At 36.6% G+C, this 9,325-nt stretch overlaps 1 protein-coding gene across 2 annotated transcripts in view; it reads right to left on the bottom strand.

Moving 5' to 3' along the window:
- Nucleotides 1-9,325, bottom strand: part of CLDN16 (claudin 16) — a 121,778-nt gene that overhangs the window by 106,498 nt on the left and 5,955 nt on the right. The gene's annotated exons all lie outside the window — the stretch shown is intronic.

Here is a 9,325-nt window from a genome sequence, read left to right as displayed (position 1 = left end):
GGACAGGATCTGACTCACCATGATCCTGGGAAAGAACTATGATGCCTCTGGCCCATCTATCAAATTTGAGTGGCTCCACCCACTAGAATGCCCTATTTCTCTCAAATTGAGTTCCTCATCAAGGGTGGTAATAGAAGAGGATGCCAGGAGATGTTACTTAATACTTTTTCTCATCTATAAAAAGGGGACATACAATAATAAATGATAAGATATGAAGATATTTTGTGAACTATAAAGCACTGTGCAAACTTAAGTGGCTTTGTTCCTCACAAAGGTGGAAGAGTGAAAGACAGCTGCTGGAAACCCATTATTGTTTCTGTAATGATGATGATCAAAACTACTCCATAAGGATGTGATGGAACTCATTCACTCATTATCTTAAAGTATCAATAACTGACACAACCTTAAGTGTGGCCTGTTCCTGGACAATGTTCATATTGAGACCAGGCTTATAAGTAAAGGCTTGCAGCTCTAATGTGGAGTCTCAGACATTAGCATGATGGGTGAGGTGCAAAGATCATTGCCAGTCAATTTGACTTGAATTCTCCTTAAATTAAGCAGATGCATCAGAATTCTCACTCTGTTTCTACAGAATTTAAATATCTGAAGGTAAGGCCAAGGCCAGCAGAAGTTTGAAAGGCAATAAAGTATCTTGGTGCTCCTGAAAATAACTAAAGGAAAACTTGGATTGTGAATCATACCAAGTAGATATCACCTCTGTGTGAGCTCATCCTTATCTGAATGCCATTGTTCTTCAAACCTTTCCTCCTCTTGTTTAACACTTTCTATATTTGCCCAGATCAAGAGAAAACTTCACTTTGTCCCCATATTCCCACCTTTTTCAGCCTGTCATTATTCCTAGTATGATCTGGTTGTGTATATTTCCTTCATTTTACATGTGGCTCACGTGTAATGTCTCTGAATTTCCTTCTTTCCTCATTTCCCAAAAACCCCATTTACCCCCAGCCTGCCCTAAAATCTCTTCATTTAGCTGGTATCATGCAACTTTGATAGAAGTCATTGCAGCTTCTAGGGTTATGTGGGGATGGCTTGTTGAGTCCTAAAAATAGGCAATCAGAGAGTTTCTCAATGCTGAACCTCTGGAAACTCTGGAAATCCCTTGGCAGTTGGCACACTCCACTTCTATTGATAAGTTTTCCAATATGGTCATTATCAGCAATTGAAAACTAGATATGAATTTATTTAATTAATATTTACGGGACACCTATCACAGGGCCAGCCTCATTAAATGCAGGCAGGGTAAAGTAGCTATGAGATGAGTAAGACCTTGTCCTGGGCTGAAGCAGTACAAAGGATGTTAGGTGGAAAGAGAAGTAAACTTGAAACATAGCACTCGTTCTGCCACTGATGAGCCAGGTGAGCCACGGAGATCTCCACCCAGTTTCTTCATTCATAAAATGAAGGCCTTAGACCCATGCAGTGGCTCTTAGCCATAACAGCATGTTAGAATCACCTGGGAGCTTTTGAAACTTCCCAATTCTAAGGCCTCACCCAAATCAAAGGAATCAGAACCTCTGAGAGGAGAGTCCTAGCAGGAGCTTCCCAGAGGATTTCAACATACTGTGTGGATTGCAAACCACAGGCCTATGTCATCTCTCAGGACCAACCTTGTCCCAAACATTTTCTGAGTAACACCCATCCAGGCACTTAATAGATTTGCTGTCAGTTCACCCTTTCCCTAATGTTGTTGCTTTATTTTCTGGTTCAGGATTGGGGCTTTTTTTTGTGTTTTGTGGGGAAAAGGAGGAGTTAAAAGCAGGTGGTCCTTCAGATGCTTTTGTCATGTTTCTTTGGCAAATGATCTTCTTTCTTGCCTTTCTCTATTATTTTTAATTTACCTCCAAAGAATAGTCAATAATACAAAGTAAATACTGTTTAAAAGAACAGGTTTCTTTTTATCAAACCATGTGAGTTCAGGAGGGTAAGTTGTTATTTATAAAGTGGAGTCTGAGTTATTCTCTTTAATGTGCAATTTTCAGGAGAGTCCTTAGCTAAACCTTAAGCTTGCTTCATTTATTTTTAATTGAATAGCATTTCTGTGATTTTAGTTCACTTATTTCATTATTTTTGTAATTTATTGCTTTGTTCCCCTTTTCCAAAATAGAAAAAAAAGTGAACACACACCCAAACCCCCCCACACACCAATTTAGGAAAGATAAAGTTTGAAAACTGTGCTCAGATCTCTTAACTGAGCTGACCTGGGATAGAACACATTGCTATGCTGAAGAGGCTTTTACTTCTTTTTGGAAATCATTTTTGTCAATTAAGTTTCCTGTTTCTATTAATGCTGTGCTTTTTCTAAGTGTCTATTGCTGCTGCTTGACTCTATTTAAAAAATCCAACAGCCTATAGGTGATCTGGGTCAAGCAGACATCTAGATCAAGGGTGAGGAATAGCAGAGAATACTTGCTGGAAGATGAGAGTGAAATACAGCAAAGATATATAAGCTTCAATGCAGCAAGGGCAGTGGTTTTAAAATTATTTTTTGTGATAATTTTTTACCACAATATGTATTTATTTGATAATAAAATTAAAACTTATTAATGAAGAAAGTAGAAAAATACAGAAAAGTGGAAATAAATATTTTAAATATTATAATAGTCATATTACCCAAAGGTAGAACTTTCAAATAATTTGATGTGATTTCTCTAGCCCTTTTTCCTTTCCCAGAGATAGGCTTTGGGGTTTATTCTTATTTTTTATTTTTTTACAGAGCATCATGTAAAAATAATTTTGACTTGTGCTTTATTTTCCATTTCAGTATATGGTAATATACTCTTACCAGACATACTTTCTAAACATAGATTGATTGTTTGATTCATATATATATATATATATATTTTTTTTTGAGACAGGGTTTCACTCCTGTTGCTCAGGCTGGATTCCAGTGACATGATCTCATTTCACTGCAACCTCCACCTCCCAGACTCAAGCAATTCTCCTGCCTAAGCCTCTCAAGTAGCTGTGATTACCCACACATGCCACCACGCCCAGCTAATTTTTGTATTTTTTTCTAGAGATGAGGTTTCTCCATATTGCCTAGGCTGGTCTCAAACTCTTGAGCTCAAGTGTTCCACCCACCTCAGCCTCCCAAACTGCAGGATTATGGGCGTGAGCCACCACACTGGCCTCACATAATATTTTTAAGAATCTAACATTCGCAGTATATTTTCTGCAATAATGGAAATGGTGCCCCTGGAGTTGTGCAACCCAGCAGCCATGAATAAAATAGACAAAAATTCCTTTCTTCCAGGAAGTTACATTCTAGGTAAGGAATGCAGATAATAAAATGGATATACTAATTATATAGCTTATTAAACAGTGATAATCCTAAACTAAATAGCCAAGAACTATTGAGAAGGTTGGAGGAAGGTAACAGTTTATAATAATGTGGCAATGGAAGTCTTCAATGAGAAGGTGAAGTTTAAGAAATAATTTAAAAGAGATGAAACAAATCAAGTGGTACCTGGTAGGAAAGTATTCCGGAAATAACATATGCAAGTTCCCCAAGGTAGAATCACGTACAACATGTTCAGAAAAGAGCAAAGGGGCCAACGCAGCTGCAATGAAGTAAGCTAGGAAGATAGTATTTTAAAATGAAGGCATAAAGGGAAAGAGATTTAAAATATATAGGATATGACAGACCATTCTAAAGACTTCCTCTTTTACTTTGAATGAAAGCAAAAGATAATAAGTCTTGATCAAAGGAAACATAGATCTAAATTGAGACGTAGTAAGAGTATTCTTCCTGTTGTGTTGAAAAATAGACCGTAAGTAGATAAGGAGGGAAGCAATGAGTTCATATAGAAGGTTATTACAATAATCCAGGCAAGAGACGGCTTGATGATTGCAGTCTGTCATAGGAGGAAGTGGTTAGAATCTGGATATTATTTACTTTAAAGTAGAGTCAACTGCTTTTGCTGATTGACTAGATGTGAGGTATGAAAGCAAAAGACTTGTCAAAAATGATTCCAAAGCTTTTTGCCTAAGAAATTCATAGGATGGAGCAGACATAAACCAAAAGTGGAAAGACTGAGAGAGAGCAGGTTTGAAAAAAAGTCAGAAATTTCATTTTGGACATGATGATAATTTCTCCTTCCCCTTCTTCTTCTTCTTCTTTTTTTTTGAGACAGAGTCTCATTCTGTCGCCCAGGCTGGAATGCAGTGTGCGATCTTGGCTCACTGCAACCTCCACCTCCCGGGTTCAAGAGATTCTCCCACCTCAGCCTCTGGAGTAGCTGGGACTACAGGCACAAGCCACCACACCCGGCTAATTTTTGTATTTTTGGCAGAGACTGGGATTCACCATGTTGGCCAGGCTGGTCTCGAACTCCTGACCTCAGGTAATTCATCCACCTCAGTCTCCCAAAGTGCTGGGATTACAGGCATGAGTCACCGCACCCAACCTGGACATAGTCGTCTTAACATGCCTATTGCGCATCCAAGTAGAGATGTCCAGTAAGCAGTAGAAAAACGGGCATATGAAGAACTAGAATGGAGAAAAGGATTTCAAGAAAAGAGAGTAATGAAACTTCAGTTTCACAGGATTGAGTCAAGTTGAAAATATGCCCCAGTCTTTGGATATTTGGATTGATTGTTACATATCACTAGGCTAGCTGGTTAATAATGGCAGAAACCAAATTTATTTTTCTCATTACCGGATCCATCTTTTATTCTCTCTCAAATTTTTCATTCTTTTTTTCACTGTGAGAGTATCATCAAAGAAATCTGGTGTGTTAGGGTCACAGACCAGCCCTGGATTCTGACCCTGAATCTGCCCTTTTAATAATTGCATCTTTATAATTTAATGTGATAGAAACCAAACGTGTCAGTTTAAGTGTTCTGGGAAGGAGGATGCCAAGACAGAGTTAGACTTGCAAAAGCATGATGGCTAATGCCTGTGGAGAAAAAAAATAGGAAAAGGCAGCAGGAGTAGATAGCAAAAGTCTTTGCCAGGGATCGGAGGGATCAGCAAACTTTTTTCTGTAAATGACCAGAGAGCAAATATTTCAGACTTTGTGGGTCACATAAATTGTCTATCATATATTCCTAATATTCAGTCGCTTGTATCGTTCTTCGAAATATGTAAATCATTCTTAGTTTGTCGGCCATACAAAAAACAGGCTGTGGACCAGCTTTAGCCTACGGGCTATAGTTAACAAATACAGCCTGGTCTGACACCTGTGAATGGATAATAGGAAAGCAGGAGAATTGTGTCAGAAAAACTTCAGGCTGTTGAGTGTTCTTATAAAGCCTTGTGGCCAGCCCATGGGGAGTTCTTGTTTAAAGGATGTCCATAAAGTAGTCCTGCATTGGGCAGCAATGATCACTTCCTAATGCCCCCTCTGTATTTACTCATTATCTGTGAGCTGTTAAAAGTGTGGCTTTAACTAGAAAGTTGCAGCAGCTGCCAACAGCACTGCAGCGAAAAGCTGTCAGCAAACTGCCCGCCCCCACGACCCCTCAACTCCCACTCCGTGGAAGATTCTTACTTGAAGAGCAGCATACCTCCTGAATGTCACATGAAAGTACAGAGAATTAGCCAATAGAGCTTTGGTTTTCTCACATTCCAAGTTGTCCCAAGGTAGGTAGTAGACAGATGCCTTGATGAATTTGTAAAATCATTGCTCAGTCATCTTCTCTCCTTGTCATTCTTAGTGTATGGCTTCCGTTCTCATGGTTATTTTGGTTCCAGGAAGGTTACTCTACCCTCACTCTTACCACCTTATGCAAGTCAAGAAGATGAAGACGCAAAAGAAGGATAAGGCAAAAAGGAGAAATGAGTGGTACCTATATATCAGAAAATCAAAACTTTTTCATAAATCCTCAGTGGGTGGAAAACTGAATAGTGGGATAGAATAGAGAGTACAAATAGACCTAAGCATGTATGGAATTGTGATATAAGACATGATAGTATTACAGATCAACAGAGAAATGAGGGATGCTTCAATACATGCTGTGGGGCAAGTGGATATTTACAGGGGAAACAAACAAACAAACATGGTCTCTAACCCATACCATACACAAAAATTACTTTTACATAGGTTAAAGACTTAAATATAAAAAAAATTCAGAAAAAATACAGAAGAATAAATTTCTTACCATAAATTAAAGAATTTTTCTAATTAAATAAGACACAAAAACAAAACCTTAAAAAATAGTTACATACAACTATGTTAAAGTAAAGGACTCTGTTCATCAAATACATAATAGAAACATCAGAAGGGGCAATCCAAAATTAGGAAGAATAACCACCACATAGTATATAATAAACAAAGACTTAATATTGAGAACACTTTTAAAAACCAATAGATCAATTATAACAAATACAATCAAATGGAAAAAAAAGCTAAATTCATGCAAAGGCATTTTGCAAAAGATAAATGATATAAGCTTATTAAAATGTGAAAATATGCTCAATCTTATTAATAACTTTAATAATAAAACCTTAATAAAATTAATGAAAAATGTAATTTTAAACCAGACTCATGTCCACAAGATTGACAAAATATAAGATGTCTGATATGCATCCAAGTGTTGTAGCATATGTGGATTAATGATGGTCACCAATTGATCTAATAAATTTTGAAAGGAATACTAACATTATACTGTAAATTTAAACATCCAACTTCATATTAAAATGCATTAATAAGCATATATTTTTGAGAAACTCTTATATGTATATCAGGGTACATGTATAAGAATGACAATTATAGCTACAGTAAGAAAACTGGAAACCTTTAAAATTTTCACTGGTTTAATGATAAATAATTTGTGGTGTGTTTACACATTGAAACATTTTATAGCAGTAAAAATGAAAAAAATAAATAGATGCAGTTATATGTAAAATGAATATTTTCTTAGAAACAATTTTGAGTGAAAAAAGCAACTCCCAGGCTCACACCTGTAATCCCAGCACTTTGGGAGGCCAAGGCGCGCGGATCACCTGAGGTCGGGAGAAACATGGAGAAACCCTGTTTCTACTAAAAATACAAAATTAGCTGGGCGTGGTGGCACATGCCTGTAATTCCAGCTACTTGGGAGGCTGAGGAATGAGAATCACTTGAACCCAGGAGGCGGAGGTTGCCGTGAGCAGAGATCACGCCATTGCACTCCAGCCTGGGCAACAAGAGCAAAACTCCGTCTCAAATACAAAAAAAAAAAAGCAACTCCCAGAAGGACACATTGCACGTAATATCATTTTTAACTCGTAGCTAGCAAAACTAAATAATACATTGTTAAGGTGTGTGTGTGTGTGTGTGTGTGTGTGTATAATATACATGTGAGATCAAACTATTGTAAAGAAAAGGCATGGACATGAATAACAAAATTTAGTATAATGTTTCCTTTGAAAGAAGCAGTAGGATGGTAAAGAAGTTACAAGTATATGGTTATTGTTGGTAACGTTCTAGTCCTTGGGTTAGGTAGTGGGTTCATAGGTATTCATTATATAACTATTATGCTTTAAGACTTACATATATTACATAACTATTCTTTTTTGTTTATATCAGATAGTATATGGAAAAGACAATAAAGAAATATGTTTTAAAACAAATAAATTCCTCTATTTTTATGTCTCATTGGATAGAATGGTTGTCCATGGTCATATTCAGCAGCAACTGAATTAGGGCGTTTAGTTTCATGGATGGCCACGTTGCTGTCCATCAAAACCAGCTTTTGCCTACTTCATTAGCTATGTAGCCTTGACAAACTTATCTTTCAGTCTCAGTCATGATACGTGTCCAACTTAACTCACAGAGTTTCAGTGGAAGTCAAATGACATATGTGAATGTCCTTTGTAAATGAGAAATACTGGATAAATGTAAAGGTTTTTTTTTTTTCAGGTATGTATATATGTGTGAGTGTATATGTGTGTATATATATATATCTGAAAAATAAATATATGTAATATATATTTTATATATTTATATATTAATATCTACATAATATCTATGTATAGATATATAATATAGATATATATTATATATTATATATTATATTATAGATATTATAGATATATATTATATAGATATATATTATATATTATATACTATATATTATATATCTATATTATTATCTATATATCTATAATATATATATACATATCTATATATAGATATAAATATAGATATATAATATATAGATAATATAACAATTAATATGATACATATATTTACATATGTATGTAAATTATATATATATATGTAAAATGAAAGCCTATATCTTCAATTTCAAGCACACATTTGGGTAGAGTCCTTTCCCCGTTTTCAAATATCATCCTGCCTCGTGTCTGTCTGTCAGAATAATATATGGACTCAGCATTGAGAATTCCATATTACAGAATTAAGGACATTTTCTGTTGATGTGACTTTTTATCTAAAAAGAATAAACTGAAAAATGAGTCTAAATGCAGCCACTTTGCTATTTTAGTTCTTCATAAGACTGGAAGCAAAGCAATTTTACTGAAATGTTATCAGTGAAACTACTCACTCTACAATGAAACATTTGTGTTTACTTTTGTGTTTAGTTATTTTGTGTTTAATATGTGTCAAATCTTTATCCAAACAGAAATGGTATAAAGAGATGAGTAAGACAGTCTGTGGCTCAGGGCTACTTTGTTGTAAAAACCCAGTGACACCATTCTGACTGTGGTCCTACTGTTTATTCTCTATCTAGCAGCAAGATCTTTGGAAGACATGTTAGGTAATTATCTTATCACTCTACTGTTCACAATCCTCCAAGATTTCCACATCACTTAAAATTAAATCTGGGCCGGGCGCGGTGGCTCACGCCTGTAATCCCAGCACTTTGGGAGGCCAAGACGGGCGGATCACGAGGTCAGGAGATCGAGACCATCCTGGCTAACACGGTGAAACCCCCACCTCTACTAAAAATACAAAAAATTAGCCGGGCGTGGTGGCAGTCGCCTGTAGTTCCAGCTACTCGGGAGGCTGAGGCAGGAGAATGGCGTGAACCCGGGAGGCAGAGCCTGCAGTGAGCCGAGATGGCACCACTGCACTCCAGCCTGGGCGACAGAGCGAGGCTCCGTCTCAAAAAAAAAAAAAAAAAAATTAAATCTGACATTAGCTACTTTCCCATCCTCATACGTTATTACTCTCCTCCTAGACCATCTTGACCTGGCCATACTAGTCTCCTTGCTATTTCTGAGATGTAACAAGTGCACATCTTAAACTTACTGCTTTTTTCGCAGCATCAGTTTTCTCCCAGAAGAATTTTCTTACCAGAAAAGACCTCTCTGACCACCCTTTATAAAGTAGCCACCTATGACACTCTATTCTCTTTC

This window comes from Homo sapiens, chromosome 3, assembly GCF_000001405.40.
Source record: "Homo sapiens chromosome 3, GRCh38.p14 Primary Assembly".
NCBI classification, from domain to species: domain Eukaryota; kingdom Metazoa; phylum Chordata; class Mammalia; order Primates; family Hominidae; genus Homo; species Homo sapiens.
This window is presented reverse-complemented; position numbering and strand designations above follow the sequence as displayed.